The sequence below is a fragment of the Homo sapiens genome, chromosome 3 (genome assembly GCF_000001405.40).
Source record: "Homo sapiens chromosome 3, GRCh38.p14 Primary Assembly".
Taxonomy (NCBI): Eukaryota; Metazoa; Chordata; class Mammalia; order Primates; family Hominidae; genus Homo; species Homo sapiens.
The window spans coordinates 4013101-4036008 of record NC_000003.12 but is presented as its reverse complement, the minus strand read 5'-3'; the positions used below and the strand labels follow the sequence as shown (position 1 = coordinate 4036008).

The following is a 22908-nucleotide window of genomic DNA, read 5'->3' as shown; positions in this document are numbered from 1 at the left end:
ACTCCAGCAGACAAAGTCATTTTCCTCAGGTCACATAGGCCATTGGTCACATAGGCTAAGAACTGCACCCAAAGCATTCATTTCTCAACCCTGTCCACTCACCCCCTAAACTGCAGTGTCTCTAACATATCTCACAAAGCACAAGTACTTCATGTCACTAATATTACTACAGTTTATTGAGACCGCATTATGCACCAGACACCTACTATCTTAGAAAGGTATAGACATTATTCGAATCCTCACAACAACCCTACAAAATATTTATTATCACCATTGGGCACATTTGTTCTATGCCCAATAAGTAGCAGAATTGATTTTACAAACCAGGGTAGGTCTGTCTTCAAAAACTGGTCTCTGTCTATCTATCATACAGCCTAATGGAAGCCTATAGAAGGTTGAGTTGTGGCCTCTCTAAAATATATCCTTGTCCTAATCTTCTGTGAATATGCTTTTATTTGGAAAAAAGGTTTTATTCAGGTGTAATTAAATTAAGCAGCTAAATATGAGATCATTTTGAATGATCTGGTTGGGATCTTAATCCAATCACAGATGCTCTCATAAGAGACAAAAGAGGATGATAACAGGGAGAAGATGAGAAACTCACATGAACGCAGAGGCAGAGGTAGAAGTGATAGAGCCACAAGCCAATGATGGCCTGGAGCTACCAGTAGATGGAAGTGGCAAAGGATTCTTCACTCTAGCTTTTAGGTGGAATCTAGCCCTACCAACACTTGATTTCAGACTTCCAGCCTCCAGATCTGTGAGACAGTACACTCTTGTTGTTTTAAGCCATTCATTTTGTGATAATTTCTTATGGGAGTGACAGGAAAATAATGCATAGCCTATTTCATTTTGAAACCATAGACTAACTCATACCATTGCTTTAAAAACTCAAAATGTCCCCCACTTTATTATGGCCATCAGTGCCTTTGTTGTCCTCCAGCTGGACTGATTTTCTGACGTCTTTACTCACAGTCTTTGAGGACCTCTCTTCCACCATAGCATAGGCCTGGACATGCTTTTGTGCCTTTGCTGACCTTGGTCTGGACCTTCCTTCTGCTTGTGGAACCAACTTACTATTCCCCAATCTTACACCGTAATCTGCTGATCTCATTGTCAAGTTTAGTCTGACTGATACCTTTTCCTAAAATCCTGGAGGGAGAGCCCTGGCTAGAATTGATTGCTCTATTTCTGTGTGCCCAGAGCAGTCTACTTATACCTACCTCTATGTATTACTTATGTCTGTCTGTCCTGTATTGTAGTTCATCAATTGCCTGTGAAATCTTGGAGCCAGGGCAAGAATTTTTATCTCAGTACTTCTCATGGAGCCTGCCACGGAATATTTGCTGATGCCTCCTGACTTACCTCTGGATACCCATGTAAGTCTCTACAAAGGGTTTCTCAAACTTGAATTTGCGAGAGAATCACCAAATGCAGATTCTGGGCTTCTGCAATTTCTTTGCTTTTGGGAGAGGGACAGGAAGCTATATTTCTTTCAGGCAACACAAGTAATTTTGAGGCAGTGGTTGCCTGACCATACTTGGAGTGGTCTAAAATTTGAACTAGAAACTCCTGTGGTATTCACCTGTTGAGTAATACTTTTATGAATTTCTCTTGGGATGTAATGAGTGATCTAAAATTGCATTCTGCTTGGGAAAAGAAGAAGCAAATCATCCTTTAAACTTTGGTCAAAAGAGACTGCACATTTGGTCCCATTTCTAAACTCTGTCTCAGTCCACCTGAAATCCATTTCATACTTCCGTAGCTGCTGAGGATTTGGAGTTGGTTTCCTTAGTTAAAGCTCACATGCTCTGGGCTCTCAGCAGGCACATGGCTAGGATTGTCTTGCTCAGACAGCACAATTCTTTTCTGTCTCTTAAACAATGGCAAGTTCTAGTGCTTCTGTGCACCTCTCCCCATTTAACTTGATTTCAAAGGGCTCCAACCATCGCTTTAGGCATTGATGGAAAGAAAGTGTTGCCTAAGTATGCTCATTGAAGGAATAACTCATTGTGCTGTATTTTTGTCTTTGGGGACATTATGAACTTTTCCCTCCACTAGGATTGTCTTATGTCCTTGATAGCTTCTGCATAACCCAAAATCACTCAGAGCGAAACTCAGCATAAGATAAATGAACTTTTCTGAGCTCCAATTCCTCATGAAAATAGGTGTAATTGTACCTATTTCATAGAATAGTTTTGAGGCTTAGATAAAGTAATTTACTAAATAGAAAACATTTAATAGGATATTGGATCCACAAGAGGACCTAAAAATCTTAATATTGTGTTTATAGGCAGGCTTAATAGTCATAATTTCAGATGTAACCTAAAAATTCATTGTCATTCCCCTCTTCCTCATCAGCATTGCCATCATCAAATTGCTGGATTTGAATGAGATTTTACTCTGTGTGCTGGGGACATTCTAAGTACTTGACATTCCGTACCACAATTCCTTTGCTGCCATAACAAATTACCACAGCCTTAGAGCTTGACACAACAAAAATCTACCTCATAGTTCAGTAGGTCAGAAGTCCAACACAGGTCTTGTTGGATTAAATCCAGGTGTTACGAGGACTGTATTCCTTTCTGGAGGCTCTAGGGTAGAATCTGACTCCTGCTAATTCAAGTTGTTGGCAGAATTCAGTTATTTGCTGTTACAGGTCTGAAGTCCCTGTTTCCTTGCTGACTGTCAACTGAGTACTGTTTCTAGCTTCTAGAGGCCACCCACTTACCTGTGGCCACCTTCCTCAGTCCTCAGAGCCAACAAGTGTGGGTTGAATCCCTCTCATGCTTTGGAACTCTCTGGCCACTTCTCTGACTTTTCTGCTGCTTCTTCCACTTTTAAGAGCCCATGTGGTTAGATTGTGTCTACCCGGATAATCCAGGACAATCTCCCTATTTAAAGATCTGAAACCTTAATTTCACTTTCAGCATCCCTTTTGCTATGTAATATGACGTGTTTACAGGTTCTGGGAATTAGGACGTAGACTTTTTTGGGGGACGGGGACATTGTTCTGCCTATCACATATTCATTGTCTCACTGAATTTTCTCAGTGTCTCTATTTCATTGTTCCCATTTTACAGATGATAAAAGAGAGGCCTAGTGAGGTTAAATAACTTGCCGAGGGTCCAATTGATGGTAAGTGGTGAAGCCAGGAAACAAATCTAGGGACTTTGCTTATAGAATATGCTTAGTTTAGAACTATACTACATTGGGCTTATAAGATGAGCTCTAGTACCAGGGCCAGGAATCCCTTTTCTGTGTTTATGACCTTGGAAAACTGAAAAGGAGAAAAAGACTGGCTTGGATTTAACAACTTGGGAGATTTAATTTCCCACAGAAGGTCAGAGAGCCAAACAAGAGCTCTCAAGTCTGTCTCAAAGATGTATGTTTCTGACCAAGTCTTTTTGACGTAGGGCACGAACACCATCTTATTGCTCATTTCGCAACTTTCTCTCAATTTCAGACCTTTTCCATTCTAACTTTCTCACCGCCGAAACTCACAGGAAGTTGGAGGAAACATTATTAGGAACAAGAATTTACCTCAGCAGATATATAGAATACCTCATAGGGTTACATCTATTACCTATTTAATACTTACCCTGTGATAAATACCTTACTTAGTGACCCTGTAGGTAGACACTATTAACAGGCGGAGCTTACAGACAAGGAAACTGAGACACTGATAAGCAAACTTGTTGGAATTTCACTCTTGGCAGCCTGATGCCAAACCACTACACTCTGTGATCACTGTAATCTTCTCTTATCAGATGAAAATATTTGTATCTTTTTTTTCCTGCTCTTAGTAATTTCCATACTTTGCCTTTAACTGAGCTATCTGATACCAGACATCTTGGCATTCAGGCTGCTCTCCTATGTCCATCTGGATGCTATGATAATAGAGCCTCCATACCTCTAGGCCAGGCAAAGGAGAAAATAATTTTAAAACAAGGAGTTTGCAGACTATCACCTGGTGGCTCTGTGATTTGGTTTCTCTGTGTCCCTACCCAAATCTCATCTTGAATTGTAGCTCCCATAATCCCCACATGTTGTGGGAGGGACCTGGTGGGAGGTAATTGAATCATGGGGGGTGAGTTCCCCCACACTGGTCTTGTGGTAGTGAATAAGACTCACGAGGTCTGATGGTTTTATAGGGGGAAACGCTTTTCGCTTGGCTTTCATTCTCTCTTTGCTGGCCTCTATGTAAGATGTCCGTTTGTTCTTCCTTGCTCTTGTGCCATGATTGTGAGGCCTCCCAGACATGTGGAACTGTGAGTCCATGAAACCTCTTTTTCTTTATAAATTACCCAGTCTTGGGTATGTCTTTATCAGTAGAGTGAAAACAGGCTAATACATTCTGTTTTTTTCATATATAAATGCAAGGTATATTCATATATTATATATATTTTATATATATATATTATATATATATTATATACACACACACACACACACACACACACATACTCCTCTCCCTCTATATATATATATGTATGTGTATATATATATGTATGTGTATATATATGTATGTATATATATGTATGTATGTGTATATATATATACATACATACATACATATATATATTCCATTAGCTCTGTCCCTCTAGAGAACCCTGACTAATACATTTGGCATGTTTTAATTTGTTTAATCTACTCAATATCTATTGGGGTAGTTGTTGCTATTATTTCCATGTTAAAAGTAAAGCTAATTTACTTCTTCAAGGTCATGCATCTGGTAAGCTTGGGACTAGGTTTTAACCCAGGCTATTTGACTCTTAGGACTGCATCCTCACCTAAGACTCAATAGCATTATTTCCATTCTGTAGCTGAGCTAATTAAGATCCAGAGTGAAATTAAGGTTTGTTATAGGCCACCCAGGTGGCAATTCTAGGACTCTGACCAAGTTTTCTGCCTTCTATTTGGAGGCAGTAATGATACATCAGAATTATATGGAATCAGAGAGAGAGTTCAATTCACATCATGGATCTGTTGGACAATAAACTTGAGGCCTTGGGTAAATCATGGATATTCTCTAATCTTTAACTGACTCAGGTAAAAAATGGGGGCAATCATACCTATTTCCTTAGGTTATCAGCAGAATGGAGATAATGCTTGTAAAATGTCTTGCATGAAGTGAGTAAACAATAGCTGTTATTATCAGTCAGTGTTCTTTCCACTACACCAGCTGCCTCTCTAGAAATAATTGAGCAACTCTCAATTATTTTTAGCATGAGCCATAGGCTGTTGGCAGGCACTACCTGATAAACCAACATCAGCATAGGGGAAAGGCTCAGAGATATGTCCCAGACCTGAGAAATACAGTGGCTGAGACTAGGATACCTAGTAAGGTTCCAGTGAACTTGATATATCTAACGCAGTCAAAGCTGAGAATTGGGGCTTATTAATAAGCTTCATCCTCTTTCCTTAGCTGTTTTCCTAGATGAGTTTCTGGTAAACAGGATTGCTCATTATCTTTTCTGGTGCATATAAGCTCCCTCCTATAAGATGAGATTCCAAAGGCAGTTCTGGAAAGCTGAGCAAAATGTGGTGTTGAGGAAGTGGTGAAGGCTGAAGATTGTTCTTTGTGTCACATTATAAGTATTGGAGTAGATTACTGAAATACATATTGGTGGTTAGTTTCTAAAGCACGATCCCTTGAATGAACATTGATGTGCCCCAGAAACAGAGTTCTGTTCAGAATGATTTATGGTCCGTGGTGCTATGGTGTGATCTGAATTACCTTTGAAAGGAAGAGCAGATATCAAATGAATTTAGAGGATAGAAATAGGTGGATAAGCATAAACGCAGAAATGTTCCAGGTTTCTCAGTTCCTTGCAAGGAGACTTTTGGGGCATACCTGAAGCTCTACTACCTGACACTTACTGGCACTGAAGGTTAAACTGTAGAAATGTGTGAATTGTCTGCTCCCTTCTGAGGTTTGTGTATTTCTCTTTCCGCCAGTCTTTCCCTCCTAAAAAAGGAAAAAAACAAGAGGAGTAGAAGGAGGCTCAGAAATAGTGACATCTAGCCTGTCTTGGTGGCTGCTTTTCAATAACATGAACTAACGTACAGCTCTTTTAGATGTGTTAGGCATCTCAGGCAGAAGAAATGATCAAGTCCGTCATATCCAACTTGATTTTTTTTTTATCGAAATGAATTCCAAAAAGCCGTCCTGTTGGTAAGGTAGGTACCTCTATAAGCTCTGGACTCAAGTGGATCTACCTATCTCTAAATCCTACCTCTGTCACTTAATAGCTATAAGTCTATGGGAAAGTTACCTTATTTCTCTAACCCACAGTTTCCACATCTGTAAATTGGCAATAATCATAGTGCCTATCTATTACATAGGCTTATTATAAAGATTAAAGATTAAATTAGAAATATACTACTTAACAATATCTAGTCTGTAGTACACATTCGGTGTTATCTCCTGCCCCAATTCTATGGATGTATTAATCTTGGCAAGTTACAATGGGACTAGTTTATTCTACTTTTCTTGTAGGGTTAGTATTTAATAAAAGGTCAACCTTCACTTCAGAAGACAGAGCTTTAGCCAGGCCCAGCGAGGCAATACCCAGAACAGTGTTTGGAGCCAAGGAGAAGGAGAGACAGCATTAGGTGTTGACAAGCCCCTTAGGTATCTCCTGGCTCAGTCGCCTGGAGCAGGAGGTTCAGAGAACGTCATAGGCAACTGCTCTTACTCCTAGCCTGCTGCCGGGGCAGGCGGGAAACAGAAAGCTCGAGCCAGCCAGATTGCAGGTGCAAAAGCCACTGGAGACAGGAGCCCATTCCAAAGCTGCCTGGCACAGCTGTTTAAAATGAAGGTCGGCCAAATTCTGAGGCATCACCTCTATTGCTCTTGAAGAGAAACAAACCAACAAAAAAAGTAGACTTGAGAAACATGAATGTTTGATTTGGCCTTTCAAGGTGGTCAACTAGGGTGCTTTGAAACTATAGAATTAGACTAAATGTAAGTACAAACTCTGCTTTTACAGAGGGGGACACACAGAACCAGAGACGGAGATGAACTGTCCCATTCCACATAGCCATTGGTGCAGAGTCAGCCTGTGGCCTGAATCTCTGGACTCTGGCTTCTGTTACACAGCACTGCTGGCCAATTCCTCTTGGAAATTTGAGGGATACAAGTCATGCAAGAATCTAATATACTGAGTTTCTTAATAGTAAGTTTATGAAAAATAAGAAGCATAAATATGTTTCTCTATGATCTTCTAAATCTCCTAGATGGGCAGGATTTAGCTTACCCAAATCTGGACCTTTATAGCTTAAGAATGGTTTTTCTGGAAGCAAATGAGGGAGCAAACACAATACTTTTTATGTTTTTACCTTTGCTTGGCTTTTGAAACTTGTAACAGGTATCGCTTTAAAAAAAACCTTCTTTTTTAACACAGGAAAATAATATGCTTTCCTTTATATGAAAAGGTGGTACAGGTGATGCTGTTCCCCTGAAGGATGAAGCTGAGCTGCTTTTTGGAGTGGTGTTGATGGATTTGATAAGTGTACAGCACCATTATTTCACTGGCCCCTATTGTAACCAAGAATGGACATTTGCAAGAAAGCAAGCCCAGGTGGGGAGTGCATGCCTGGTCCACAAAAAAAGCTGAGCTAAGTGTGTCTGGCTGGGGATTCAACCCTTAACCTTAGATTCCTTAGCACGAGATTCTAACAGCTGAGCTGTAAGCATTCTTCTCAAGTGTTACAGTTAAACACCCACATGCCCCATCACACAATGCTGAATCCCTACAGATCAGTTAAACAGACACTGTTCCTACCAGAGACAATGAGAGATCAAACTGCCCAAAACAACCAGGCAAACAAGCACACTGTTTTGCATCTTTCTACTTTCAAAGAACCTTGGACAGCAAGTAAGCACTTTCTAACTTACCCAAATTCAGGGTCATTAAAACATGGCATTTATACCTCTTCTATTAAACTTACCTAAATGACTTGATAGAGATCTTGGAGAATAAGGATGTGTCCTCCAGAGCATTAGAGCCCTATAAAAATATAATGTAATTCAAACATGTGAACTACATTTGTAATTTTAAATTTTCTAGTACATATATTATTTAGGGTGAAAAGAAACAGGTGAAATTATTTTTAAAAATATATATTTTGTCCTGAATGGTAATGCCTAGGTTTTCTTCTAGGGTTTTTATGGTTTTAGGTTTAACGTTTAAATCTTTAATCCATCTTGAATTGATTTTTGTATAAGGTGTAAGGAAGGGATCCAGTTTCAGCTTTCTACATATGGCTAGCCAGTTTTCCCAGCACCATTTATTAAATAGGGAATCCTTTCCCCATTGCTTGTTTTTCTCAGGTTTGTCAAAGATCAGATAGTTGTAGATATGCGGCATTATTTCTGAGGGCTCTGTTCTGTTCCATTGATCTATATCTCTGTTTTGGTACCAGTACCATGCTGTTTTGGTTACTGTAGCCTTGTAGTATAGTTTGAAGTCAGGTAGTGTGATGCCTCCAGCTTTGTTCTTTTGGCTTAGGATTGACTTGGCAATGCGGGCTCTTTTTTGGTTCCATATGAACTTTAAAGTAGTTTTTTCCAATTCTGTGAAGAAAGTCATTGGTAGCTTGATGGGGATGGCATTGAATCTGTAAATTACCTTGGGCAGTATGGCCATTTTCACGATATTGATTCTTCCTACCCATGAGCATGGAATGTTCTTCCATTTGTTTGTGTCCTCTTTTATTTCCTTGAGCAGTGGTTTGTAGTTCTCCTTGAAGAGGTCCTTCACATCCCTTGTAAGTTGGATTCCTAGGTATTTTATTCTCTTTGAAGCAATTGTGAATGGGAGTTCACCCATGATTTGGCTCTCTGTTTGTCTGTTGTTGGTGTATAAGAATGCTTGTGATTTTTGTACATTGATTTTGTATCCTGAGACTTTGCTGAAGTTGCTTATCAGCTTAAGGAGATTTTGGGCTGAGACGATGGGGTTTTCTAGATAAACAATCATGTCGTCTGCAAACAGGGACAATTTGACTTCCTCTTTTCCTAATTGAATACCCTTTATTTCCTTCTCCTGCCTGATTGCCCTGGCCAGAACTTCCAACACTATGTTGAATAGGAGCGGTGAGAGAGGGCATCCCTGTCTTGTGCCGGTTTTCAAAGGGAATGCTTCCAGTTTTTGCCCATTCAGTATGATATTGGCTGTGGGTTTGTCATAGATAGCTCTTATTATTTTGAAATACGTCCCATCAATACCTAATTTATTGAGAGTTTTTAGCATGAAGGGTTGTTGAATTTTGTCAAAGGCTTTTTCTGCATCTATTGAGATAATCATGTGGTTTTTGTCTTTGGCTCTGTTTATATGCTGGATTACATTTATTGATTTGCGTATATTGAACCAGCCTTGCATCCCAGGGATGAAGCCCACTTGATCATGGTGGATAAGCCTTTTGATGTGCTGCTGGATTCGGTTTGCCAGTATTTTATTGAGGATTTTTGCATCAATGTTCATCAAGGATATTGGTCTAAAATTCTCTTTTTTGGTTGTGTCTCTGCCCGGCTTTGGTATCAGAATGATGCTGGCCTCATAAAATGAGTTAGGGAGGATTCCCTCTTTTTCTATTGATTGGAATAGTTTCAGAAGGACATAGGCGTGGGCAAGGACTTCATGTCCAAAACACCAAAAGCAATGGCAACAAAAGACAAAATTGACAAATGGGATCTAATTAAACTAAAGAGCTTCTGCACAGCAAAAGAAACTACCATCAGAGTGAACAGGCAACCTACAACATGGGAGAAAATTTTTGCAACCTACTCATCTGACAAAGGGCTAATATCCAGAATCTACAATGAACTCAAACAAATTTACAAGAAAAAAACAAACAACCCCATCAAAAAGTGGGCGAAGGACATGAACAGACACTTCTCAAAAGAAGACATTTATGCAGCCAAAAAACACATGAAGAAATGCTCATCATCACTGGCCATCAGAGAAATGCAAATCAAAACCACTATGAGATATCATCTCACACCAGTTAGAATGGCAATCATTAAAAAGTCAGGAAACAACAGGTGCTGGAGAGGATGCGGAGAAATAGGAACACTTTTACACTGTTGGTGGGAGTGTAAACTAGTTCAACCATTGTGGAAGACAGTGTGGTGATTCCTCAGGGATCTAGAACTAGAAATACCATTTGACCCAGCCATCCCATTACTGGGTATATACCCAAATGAGTATAAATCATGCTGCTATAAAGACACATGCACACGTATGTTTATTGTGGCACTATTCACAATAGCAAAGACTTGGAACCAACCCAAATGTCCAACAATGATAGACTGGATTAAGAAAATGTGGCACATATACACCATGGAATACTATGCAGCCATAAAAAATGATGAGTTCATGTCCTTTGTAGGGACATGGATGAAATTGGAAACCATCATTCTCAGTAAACTATCGCAAGAACAAAAAACCAAACACCGCATATTCTCACTCATAGGTGGGAATTGAACAATGAGATCACATGGACACAGGAAGGGGAATATCACACTCTGGGGACTGTGGTGGGGTCGGGGGAGGGGGGAGGGATAGCATTGGGAGATATACCTAATGCTAGATGACACATTAGTGGGTGCAGCGCACCAGCATGGCACATGTATACATATGTAACTAACCTGCACAATGTGCACATGTACCCTAAAACTTAGAGTATAATAAAAAAAAAAAAAAAAAATATATATATATATATATATATATATATATATATATATATATATATATTTTGTAATCTATTTTACTAAAACAATCCCTCCAAACTACTACCATTTTTACATGGAATCAATATAGAAATTACCAATGTTATTATTTTTATTCTAAATCTTCAAAATCTGATGTGTATTTGACATGTATAGTCTGTTCTGTGAAAAGACCACATATGCAAAGTGACCACCAAGCACAGAAGGAGCTGAGAAACCAAAGAATGAGGCAGACAAATCCAGTTTGCTAGTAAAGGGTGATTTACTGGGGAACTTGCCTCATGGTCTTGGGTGGCAGCAAGACAGGTAGATCTCCACACCATTACTCCTCAGACCAAGAGCTTATATACCACAGAGAAAGGGCATATGTGCTCTATAGCCAATTAAAGGCAGCCCTCCAGAAAAGGCAAGAATGCTATGTGCGTCATAGCCTATAATTTGTGCAATAACATCAAGGTTGCTTTGATGTAAAGGCGGGATTTATAGCAAGTACATGTTCTCACATTGAGGACAGTAAATAGAGTGGGAATCAGAAAGCATTCCTGGGACTGAGGTTAATAAGTCAACATAGCTATTAACATTTAATATGGAGTCACTTTGTCTGCACACAGTCCATGCCACTTGGACTGGCCCTATTTCAGTGCTCAATAGCTGTGTGAGACCTGTGGTAACTTCGTTGGTCAGTGTAGCATCAGAGCCAACATGAAGATCCCAGCCAATAAAGATCCCAGGGCTTGCTGGCATTCTCCAGGACTGACCTCTGGAAACAACTGGTTCTCTTAATACAATTAGGAAGAACAAATACTAACTAAGCAAAAACCAGAATAATTGTTTTGAGGTAGATTTTACTGAGTACTCAGTGTATTTATCCATTCAGCTCTCTGGGAGTTGCACAGGAGGTTAACATATTCTTATAGATCTGTTGGGGGGCGGGAGGCCAGTCTTTTCTGCCCCAAATAACATTTTCTTCTGGAACCCCTCTTTGGTAGCAGACAACTGCCTGTGTAGACAGGAGTACAAAGGGGCACTGTATTATTCTCTTGTGTATGGCCATGGCTGTTTTTCAGGATATGTTGTGATATAGACATATCCACTTCTCTAAATGCTTGAAATTTAACTAGAGGAGAGTTGTACACTTTTTTTCCTTTCCATTATCAAATAATCAAAAGTTATTTCTAAGGGCGAAGCTGTTCCTTGTGGTCACTCTTTAAAACTAGGCAGGAGGAAGTGATCTTGTCACTCCAAAAATTGTCTAATGCTATTGTCTACAGGCCAAGGGAAAAGGAAAAGGCTTCCCTTTTCTGCATGAAGGCTAGTTTTGTCAGTGATTACAATTTTATTGTTGACACTGTACCTCTGTATTAGTGTTGGTGCAAGGCTCATAAACTTTAGCAACTTCATTACTCACCAATTAGTTTCGAATGAATTTTACTATCTTGAATCTAATGGTGCTCTTCATGGAGTAGGCTCCATGTTCATAAAGGATTTAAGGATTTCACATCTGAGGATCTGGAGGGATAGCACAGATTCAGAGACACCAATTTTTTCATGTGCGTGCGTGCGTGTGTGTGTGTGTGTGTGTGTGTGTGTGTGTGTTTGTTTGTTTAGAAATGACGTCTCGCTAGGTTGCCTAGGCTGGCCTTGAACTCCTGGTCTCAAGTGATCCTCCTCCCTCAGCTTCCTGAGTGGCTGGGACTACAGGCTTGTGCCACTATGCCCGGCTTACCACCAGTTTTTTAGTTGGGAATTTTTATTTGACAGAGATGCCTCAGGTCTCTAAGTCAGAGGAAAATGGCTTCCAATTACTGCCTTCCAATTTCATTGATGCAACCTTCCCTTTTCTCAGAGGCTGTACACAAGTGTGGAAAATGCCCTGGAAATGGAACCAGAGGACTTGAGTTTCAGTCCAGGCTCCTCTGCATCTTGGTATGGGACCTCAAACCGGTTGCTTAAGCTTCCCAAGTTTCAGTTTGTTCGTCTACAAAATGGAAACTAAACACAAAGGGCTGTCCTGAGAGTTAAGTGAGATGATGGACATTAAATGTCATTAAAGTGCTTTGTGAACTATAAAGTATTCTGCAAGTGTGAGGAAGGGATACTTGTTGAACCAAGGAGAAGTATATACTTGTGAAGACCATGCTCATCTTGAGAGCCATTCTTGAGTTTAATAAACTTGGGGTGCTAGCTTAGATCCTGCTCTTTTTGGAATCCCCCCATTCTGGTTTGGTAAGACAGTGACTTAGGAAAGAGATGAGGCCTTACATGCATTCCAGCCAGTAGAATGATCCCATCATCACCATATTAATTTTTCTCATCTCTACTCAAACTCATTTCCCTTCCAGGGTGTCAATGACAGTCATTTCATCCTGGTTTCACCTGGATTAGAAGTTTGGGATAGAGCAGCATTGTTATATGTTGCAGGTTCAGGGTTGGTAGAGTTGGCCTTATACATTCTTAGCCTCATGGGAGAAATCTTCTCTGAGTTCAGTTCACATTGTAGACTTCTGAGTATCCTATAGCAGATGTGAATTTAAACAGATCTCATCATCTTGTATTTCTGCAAACTCTGTCTCAGAGATAACCAGCTTAGTTTCCTCCTTCCCCACCTCCCTCCCCCTCTCTCTTCCTCCCTGTCTCCTTTCCTGTCTTTGAAATTAGGATAGTAACATTTGATATTCAGGTAACTTATTAATTTGAGTCATTTCAAACATCTAGATTTTTTTATGTATTAATAAGTTTAACCTGTAACACTTTTGACTGTTGGACCCATATCTTATTTATGTCTGTCTTGTTATTCTGTAGAACCTAGTACAGTGCTTTATACATAGTAGGTGCCTAGTAAGTGTCTACTGAATGAATAGTGAGTAATAGCAATCAATACTTTTGAGGATCTAAAATGTGTTGGAAATCCTCCAGAGACATTCCTTTACTCTTCACAGTGACAGGTTATATTGCTCCCATTTTGTAGATGAGAAAACTGAGTGGCAGTGTGCTTAAGAGATTTACCCAAGGTCATTCAGTGGCAAGATACATGGATTTAAAATTGGCTAGTATTGCTCCAAAGCTCGTGCATTTTGTGCTATATTTCCACATCTTTTAATACTGGCCTCCCAATCTTAATATAAGTAGTTCTTTTTTAGAAAATGAAACTTTTAAAAAAGGGAAAATGGTACTAGAACAGGGGCCAGAGGCTATAGAAAATTCATATTTAAGAAAGAGAAAGAGTCTGACAAGGAGATACTTCTCTTCTTTAAATCCCATTCTACTGTTACGTTTCTCTTTAATTTTCACAAAACAACTGACATTTAATGAATATTTATGTGCCGGGTGCTGTGATTAGTGCTTTACTTGCATTTACTTTTCAGACAACTCCATGAAGCAGATAGTTATTTTTCTAACCATCAGATGAAGAAATTGTGACACAGAGAGATTAAGACCCTTGTCCAAGATCACACTGCAAATCCTAGATTAATTTTAAACCTAGGTCTCTCTGACTCCAGAGTGGAAGCTTTTAACCGCTACATGATGCTGTCTCTCACTTTTTCTGCCTTTGTAGTCAGAACTACCAGTTATGTGTTAGTTTGTTTGTGAATGTTGATAATCCCTGTAAGATTGCAAGCTCCTTGAGAGTTGGGCATCTTGACTTTAACTTGTGCATTGCTTCATACTGCTCAACTAGTGTTCGACAAGTGCTCATTTAATACTTGGGCATTCTCAGACTGAGTCAGCTGATCAGTCAGTCTCTCTATGACACTAAGAGAAATGAGTGTTTATATCTTCAGTGATATTGTTAAAAACATCATTTTAAACAAAATTTTATTTTTAATTAACAACACAGTTTTTATGCTGAAATAGACACTTTTTGTGCCCTCTGCTACAATCTCTTGATCCACCACTAATTTCCACTATAGCTGTGCTGGACAGTTCCCATGCAAAATGACGTCATCCCACTTTAAGCACCTCCCACCCCTCTGCACTTCTGCCTCAAGACTTTTTCCAAAGGCCCAGGAGCTGGCTTGATCTGCCTTTTGGGTAGCACAGAACTTTGGAAAATTGATGCTCCAGAGGCAAACTTCAACCACTAGAAAATATGATAGATTCCTTAACCTCCTGTCCCTTAGAAGGAAATTCTTAGGTACATCCTACCTGTCACTCAAGAATTAGTCCCCAGCTGCATCGAGCACCACTTGCCCATGGTGGTTAACAGCACCTCTTATGGTTTCTTCCTACCTCTTTGTTTCAATCTCCCCATTCCCTAACTGCTGCTTCCTGGGGGTATCTCCAAAATAAACTCCTTGCACCTAAGTCCTTGTCTCTGTTTATTTATTTATTTATTTTGGGTGGAGATATATAAAAAAACAAATTAGATCCATGCTTATTTGCTAATGGTTTCATGCCAGAGGCCACATATAATGTCACATAATGTGAATAAACCATGTGGTTGGATTCATTAGAGAAGTCATCTCAGAGGAGGTGGAACTTTAAAGGTCTTGGATACATAAGGTGAAGGTGAATGGAGAGAGAGTTTAATTTTAAGAATTGCTCTTTCCACCTTTAATAGTTTGCAACACATAACCAATTATACTGATGAAAACGTGCAATGTTTTAAAAGAATGCAAGAATTAATTTGCTGAAAACTAAGAAGGCTACAAATTCAGTTTACCTTCATTCTTAGTTGCATTGTTTTTGGTGTAAAAAAGGCTAACCTGCAATGCATTCCTAGGTCTGTGGTCCATAGCACTTGCCAGTGGATATTTGTTTGTTTGTTTTGTGAGACGGAGTCTCACTCTGTCGCCCAGGCTGGAGTGCAGTCACACAATCTCAGCTCACTGCAACCTCTGCCTCCAGGGTTCAAGCAGTTCTCCTGCCTCAGCTTCCCAAGTAGCTGGGATTACAGGAGCCTGCCACCATGCCCGGCTAATTTTTTTGTATTTTTAGTAGAGACAGGGTTTCACGGTGTTGGCCAGGCTGGCCTTGAACTCCCGACCTCAGGTGATCTGCCTGCCTTGACCTGCCAAAGTGCTGGGATTACAGGCGTGAGCCACTGCTCCTGGCCGGATATGTTTTTATTACTTGTTTTCCCCCTTGAGATCTCTGATAGAGTTTTATTTTTAAAAGATGCCAGATATGACATTCATAATCACTGAGTTGTCACCCCACCAAAAAAAGTTGAGAGAAGAACATGGCAGATGGTGTCATGAAAATTATATTGAAGGATATCCCTCATAATGATGAAAGATACAGCAGTGAAGTCCTGGCATACATATGGATGGCAGGAAGGATTTATGCCTGGTGTGTCTGGGCTCTTAATAAGTAATGTATCAACTTGTTTGAAAACTTTTTAATTAGGAGGATCAGCAGGATTTGTGGATGAGTCATGAAGAGACCTTTCCCTTTCAGCAAATGAGGACAAACTAACCATCAGTAGCAACAGATGCATTTATTTCAGTCCCCAATAAAAATGGCACTGTTCAAATGAAGATAAGGCCAAGGGTCTTATCTTTCTATGGGCAAAATCAGCCGCTTGGTTCCTTTGCCCTGACTGCCCTTGGTGCTCTCTGGCAGCTGTCACACAAACCACAGGTCTCATGGACTATGCCACAAACTACAAATTTACATCTGACCTTGCCACTTGCCCAATGAAAAACATTTGCTGGTTCCCTATCACACTCAGCATAAACCCCAAACTCTTTATCACAGCTCTTAAGTCCCTGAAAAGTTTGTCTTCTGCCTCTTATTGCTATTACCTCAGTTTGAGGGATGCTCTCCTTGCTTCCTGTTTCAGCCAAACTGTCATCCAACAGATCCAAGCTCTTACCAAGCATTTTTATACCTTGGCACTTATCAGTCTGAAATGCTGGACCTGGAGTGCTTTTTTCTGGCCTTTTAAAAATGACTAGCTCCCCAAGGTCTCGGCATATAGTATTATCTCAGAAAATCATCCCAGGCCACTTCTGCTACCCTTCTCTTAGCATTCGCTATCAAGTCCTCTGCTTATTGGCTTTATGGCATTTATCATGAGCCATATTATTCAGTTTGTTTATTTATTTATTTTTGCTTCACTGTCTATTTCTCCCATGAAGACAAAATATGTTTCCCAACAACTAGTCTACTGCCTAAAATCTAACAGGCATTCCATCAAATATGTGTTGATTGGGTAGTAGACAAAGTGAAATGCACACTCTAGGGGTGGCGGGCTAGAAATATCATCTTTTGCACATAAAATGAATTTGGAACAATCTAGAAAATGTCTACAGGCTTCACATCTGAGTCTTTCAAACATTGGTTGATGATTCTTGTGTTGGTCCTAGCTAGAGAGCTGCAATCTCTGTTTGGAAATTTGTGTTGACATGCTTGGGAAAGATCTGATGTTGGGCTGAGGTATTGCGATGTAGATGAACAGTTTTCTGGCCATTAAATAAAGTTATGAACTTCCCATTGGCATAATGATCCATAGATGTTTCAGGGATGAAGAGTTGAGACTGCAACCTGAATGCGCAGTTCTTAGATCTCACTGTTGCTCAGTGTTGAAATATGATATTATTACTTGAGGTTTCTGTGACTGTGAGGTTTACCATTTTGAATTGGTTTTTACCAGGGTAGAACTCCCGATGGCACATTGTAGATATTCAATAAATATTTAGTGAAAAAAGAAAGATTTATATTTTCTATTATTAATCAGTAGCTAGTCTTATGACATTCAAGCCCTAGTTTAGTCCTCTCCCACACTGGATGGGGCTGATTTGTGTAATCAGTAGGATATTGTGGAAATGGCAGTGTGTGACTGCTGAGGCCAGGTCACAAAATATAGTGTGACTTTCTCTTGCTCTTTCTTGGATCATTCATTCTGGGGAAATCAGCTTCCATGTTGTGAGGATGTTCTGGCAGCCTACGGGGAGGTTTATGTGGTGAGACTGAAGCCTCCTGCCCATAACCATGTGTGTGAACCATATGGAAACTGATCATCCACCCCCAGTCAAGCCTTCAGATGACTGCTGCCCCAGCCAACTAAGCTGCTAAGCTGTAAGATAATAAATGTTTAATGTTTTAAGCTACTTAGTTTTCAGGTATTTTTTATATGACAATAGATAACAAATACACAGAGGAATCAAAGCAATGACCCTAAACAAAACCTCATTAGAAACCAGGCTTTCCAAGTCTTTGCTATTGTGAATAGTGCCGCAATAAACATACGTGTGCATGTGTCTTTATAGCAGCATGATTTATAATCTTTTGGGTATGGGATGGCTGGGTCAAATGGTATTTCTAGTTCAAGATCATTGAGGAATCACCACACTGTCTTCCACAATGGTTGAACTAGTTTACAGTCCCACCAACAGTGTAAAAGTGTTCCTATTTCTCCACATCCTCTCCAGCACCTGTTGTTTCCTGACTTTTTAATGATCTCCATTCTAACTGGTGTGAGATGGTATCTCTTTGTGGTTTTGATTTGCATTTCTCTGATGGCCAGTGATGACGAGCATTTTTTCATGTGTCTGTTGGCTGCATAAATGTCTTCTTTTGAGAAGTGTCTGTTCATATCCTTTGCCCACTTTTTGATGGGGTTGTTTTTTTCTTGTAAATTTTTTTAAGTTCTTTGTAGATTCTGGATATTAGCCCTTTGTCAGAAGAGTAGATTGCAAAAATTTTCTCTCATTCTGTAGGTTGCCTGTTTACTCTGATGGTAGTTTCTTTTGCTGTGAGGAAGCAGCTCTTTAGTTTAATTAGATCCCATTTGTCAAGTTTGGCTTTTGTTGCCATTGCTTTTGGTGTTTTAGACATGAAGTGCACTTGGAACCAACCCAAATGTCCATCAGTGATAGACTGGATTAAGAAAATGTGGCACATATACACCATGGAATACTATGCAGCCATAAAAAAGGATGAATTTGTGTCCTTTGTAGGGACATGGATAAAGCTGGAAACCATCATTCTCAGCAAACTATTGCAAGGACAAAAAACCAAACACCACATGTTCTCCCTCATAGGTGGGAATTGAACAATGAGAACACTTGGATAAAGGAAGGGGAACATCACACACGGGGGCCTGTCGTGGGGTGGGGGGAGGGGGGAGGGATAGCATTAGGAGATATACCTAATGTAAATGACGAGTTAATGGGTGCAGCACACCAACATGGCACATGTATACATATGTAACAAACCTACACGTTGTACACATGTACCCTAGAACTTAAAGTATAAACAAACAAATAAAAAACAGGCCTTAATTCTGTCGTCTTTATCATTCTTTACCCCTGTTCTCATTGGTATCTTAGTGACCTTGTTGTATATTTAAGATAGTAATCTGATGTCTACCATATTATTTGGCAATGTTTTCCCCAATCTATAATTTATCTCTATTTGGGGTTATGCTTTTGATATTCAGAAATGTGTTCATGTATAGGTGACATAGTATATCCATCTTTTTCTTTCTGGTTTTTCAAATTGCTTCTAGTTTCTCTTTCCAAAGCTTTGATTAGTATTCAATTAGTTTTTAAATAGCTTTGTATATATTTAAAATTGTAGTATACATTATCCTGTTGTTTAGTTAACCACTTTTTGCATATAACTTTCCAGTCATCTCATTACTATAAAAATCTAGATTTTTATCTTATATGGTACTATGTATTGCATGGCAGAATTGAAAAGATTGCTAAGGTTATAATAGATTATATACCCCTTTTCTCCTTTGTTTATGTGGTCTTTCACTTTGTCAAAAAAGGAAATTTACATTGATGTGCTCTGTATTATCATGCTGATTGCTATCTAGTACATTGTTTCTACAAATTCCTTTCCAATTTAAGTTGTAGATGGTTCTAGTTTAGATTTTCTATAAGCATAAAAGCCCACAGGTCTGCAATTTCATATATCTTAGCTTGTCCAGAAACTTTTAATCTACTTTCTGGCTTATAGAATATCACCTTGACCTTCTCCCTTCCTTTGGGTTTGTGTTTGATCTGATAGTCTGAACTTGCAGAAATGTCAACAGTCAATTTTCTTTTAATTAATATCCTTATCAGAGCTGACATTATATCACCCTCATTTATAAGTCTTATAAGTAATTTCCCCAGCAGTGTTCTTGAGAGACAAATGACCTATCCATTCTATTGATACCTTTTTTTTTGAGTTTCATGCAAGCTCGAAAGAAAATATCCATTTTGTGGGACAAATTTTTGTTGTGACAAAGTCAGCTTATAATTTCTGTGGTTGAAACTTGACCCAGGAGTTCAGGAAGTCTGTTGTTTGCATTTTGAATTGTTTCCAAGCAGCTGCATTTGATCACAACCTGGGGGCTTCTCTTCTGGCATTTCACCTGTACTGTGTCAAACTAGGTTGGTATTCATTGGTGGCTCTGCAGTGGAGATTTCTGACAAATTCTGTCATTTGTTTGCCCTACAGTCAGGTTCTTTTATGCGTGGTGAACCTGTATCTTTTGTTCTTTCTGCTGCAAGATTTTCAACTTGAAAAAAGTCACTGTGGTGATGTTTTATTCCATTCCTGCCTTTATTAGCAGAGTACCCTAGTCACTGAACAACACCAGCTAATGTTTTGACAGTGCCTTTGTGTTGGGGAAGAGTTCTTTTAGATGATTTGTATACTTTTATCCTATCAACACCTAATATATTTTGTGCTTTCATACTTAAAGAAATGTTCTGTGCCCTGTTTCATATCATCTCACAGCTACCCTGTAACATTCACTCCCATATTTTAAACTTTTCAATGGCCATTTTTGCTGGCCTTCTTTTCATTTCGTCAAACCAGCTATGCTTCCTGCCACTACGGAGCCTTTGAACATGGTGGTACCTTCTCCTAGAATATACTTCCTCTTAACTCCTTCCTCCTTTCAGTGAATTAATGACCACTCATCTGTCAAATCCAAGTTGAAGCATCACCTGCTACGAAGGAGGTCAGGTACTTTTGTTCTATTCTCTGAAAGGACCATATTAGTTGTCTTCAAATCCTCATTCATTTGTTGTATGATTATTTAATACTTAACTCTCCCTCTATACCATAAAAACCATGAGAATGAGTGAATGGTTCTTAAATTATACATATGGAAACTAGGCTTAGAAATCTTAAATAGCTTGACCAAGGTCCTACCACAACTGAGTAGCAGAGGTAGAACTTGAACCTAGGTCTTTTATTTCCTAGTTTCATGATTTTTTATTAAACACAGCTGCTCTACACTTCTAAGTCAGCCCTAATTTTTAATATATCTTCCATCTTAAAGTCGTTTTTTGTTTTGTTCCTTGCACGTGGCCAGGATAGCTGTGACCCACACCTTGAGTGTGGTTGCAGCTTGAAAGTAAATTATACAAAGTAAGTGAGAGGTGTATGAGGGCTCTTCACAAGTTCATAGAAAATGTGTGTTATGAAAAAACTATGCATAGATTAAAATTTTTTTTTGCATCAAAATAAATTTGTACTAATTATAACATGTCTGAACAGAAACTACTTTGAGATAATAAGAAGGATAAGACATCAGTTTGAAAAGAGCCCTATCAGAGCAATATGAACATCAAATTTATAATGATGCTTGGGTGAAATCATTGATGCTTTACCAAAAGGTTATAGGGATGGTGCCCCAAAGAAATCAGCAGTTCACAAATGGATGATTTGTTTTAAGAAGAGACAAGATGATTTTGAGGATGAAGCCTGCAGTGGCAGGCCATCCCTATCAACTTGGAAGAAAAAAATTCATCTTGTTCATGCCCTCATTGAAGAGGACCAAGGATTAACAACACAAACAATAGTATACACCATAGATAGTGGTTCCAACCACATTCTGTTTGAAAAATTAAAGTTGAACAAGCTTTCTACTGGATGGGTGCCAAACTTTTGTGCTCAGCTCAGCTGCAGACAAGAGCAGAGCTTTCAATGGAAATTTTAAACAAGTGTGATCAAGATCCTGGAGCATTTATTTGAAGAATTGTAACAGAAAATGGAACATGGTTTTACTGATACAATGCTGAAGATAAAGCACATTCGAAACAATGGCTACAAAGGGATAGAAATGGTCCAGTCAAAGGAAAAGCAGAACTGTCAAGAGCATAGGTCATGGCAGTAGTTTCTTTGGATGTTCAAGGCATTTTGCTTGTTGACTTTCTGGAGGACCAAAGAATGATAACATCTTCTTCTTAGGAGTGTTTTGAGAAAGTTAGCCAAAGCTTTAGCACACCACCACCTTGGAAAACATCACCAGAGAGACCTTCTCCACCACAACAATGCTCCTGCTCATGCTTCTCAACAAACTAGGGCAATTTTGCAGGAGTTTTGATGGGAACTCATTAGGTATCCACCTTACCGTCCTGATTTGACTTCTTCTGACTTCTTTTTGTTTTCTAATCTTAAGAAACCTTTAAAAGACACTCATTTTATTTTATTAACAAGTAGAAAGACTGTATAGACATGGTTAACTTACCAGGACCCTCAGTCCTTTAGGGATGGCTAAATGGCTAGTATCATCACTTAAAAAAATGTCATGAATTTGATGGTGATGGTATAGAGAAATAAAGTTTATATTTTTTATTTTTATCTTTTAATTCCATTTTTCCAGAAAAATGGTTTTAGATTTGTTACGTGGGTTTACTATGTGATGCTGAGGTTTGAGGTCTGAATGATCCCATCACCCAGGTAGTGACCATAGCACCCCATAATTTTTTGCCCCTTTCCTCACTTTCCTCCTTTCCCCATGTAGTAGTTCCCAGTTTCTATTGTTGCCATTTTTATGTCCATGAGTACCCAATGTTTAGCTCCCACTTGTAAGTGAGAACATGCAGTATTTGGTTTTATGTTCCTCTGTTAATTCACTTAGGATAATGGCCTCCAGCTGCATCCATGTTGCTACAAAGGACATGATTTCATTCTTTGCTATGGCTGTGTAGTATTTCATGGCATATATATACTACATTTTCTGTACCCAAGGGGTCCCCAGCCCCTGGGCCCCAGACTGGTACCAGTCCATGGGCTGTTAGGAACTGGGCCGCACAGCATGAGGTGAGTGGTGGGCAGGTGAGCATTACCACCTGAGCTCTGCCTCCTGTCAGATCAGCCATGGCATTAGATTCTCATAGTAGTGCAAACCCTATTGTGAACTGCACGTGAGAAGGACCTAGGCTGCATGTTCCTTATGAGAATCTAATGCCTGATGATCTGAGGTAAAACAGTTT

The 22908-nt window shown here is 39.3% G+C and overlaps 1 protein-coding gene and 1 long non-coding RNA gene across 3 annotated transcripts in view; one reads left to right on the top strand and one right to left on the bottom strand.

Moving 5' to 3' along the window:
* The window catches only part of SUMF1 (sulfatase modifying factor 1), a 432784-nt gene extending 431261 nt beyond the window's left edge, over nucleotides 1-1523 (top strand). Inside the window, exon 10 of the mRNA XM_017006254.3 lies at nucleotides 1263-1523. Within this exon, the coding sequence (XP_016861743.1) occupies nucleotides 1263-1280 (18 nt within the window). The 3' untranslated portion in view covers nucleotides 1281-1523. The remainder of the gene's footprint in view (nucleotides 1-1262) is intronic.
* The window catches only part of LOC102723512 (uncharacterized), a 40652-nt gene that overhangs the window by 10762 nt on the left and 6982 nt on the right, over nucleotides 1-22908 (bottom strand). The window contains exon 2 of one of the 2 annotated variants that reach the window (XR_007095788.1): nucleotides 7957-8015. This is a non-coding gene — a long non-coding RNA (uncharacterized LOC102723512). Of the gene's footprint in view, nucleotides 1-5883; nucleotides 7094-7956; nucleotides 8016-22908 lie in introns of those variants that run through there. The other variant, XR_007095787.1, reaches the window with a different exon arrangement.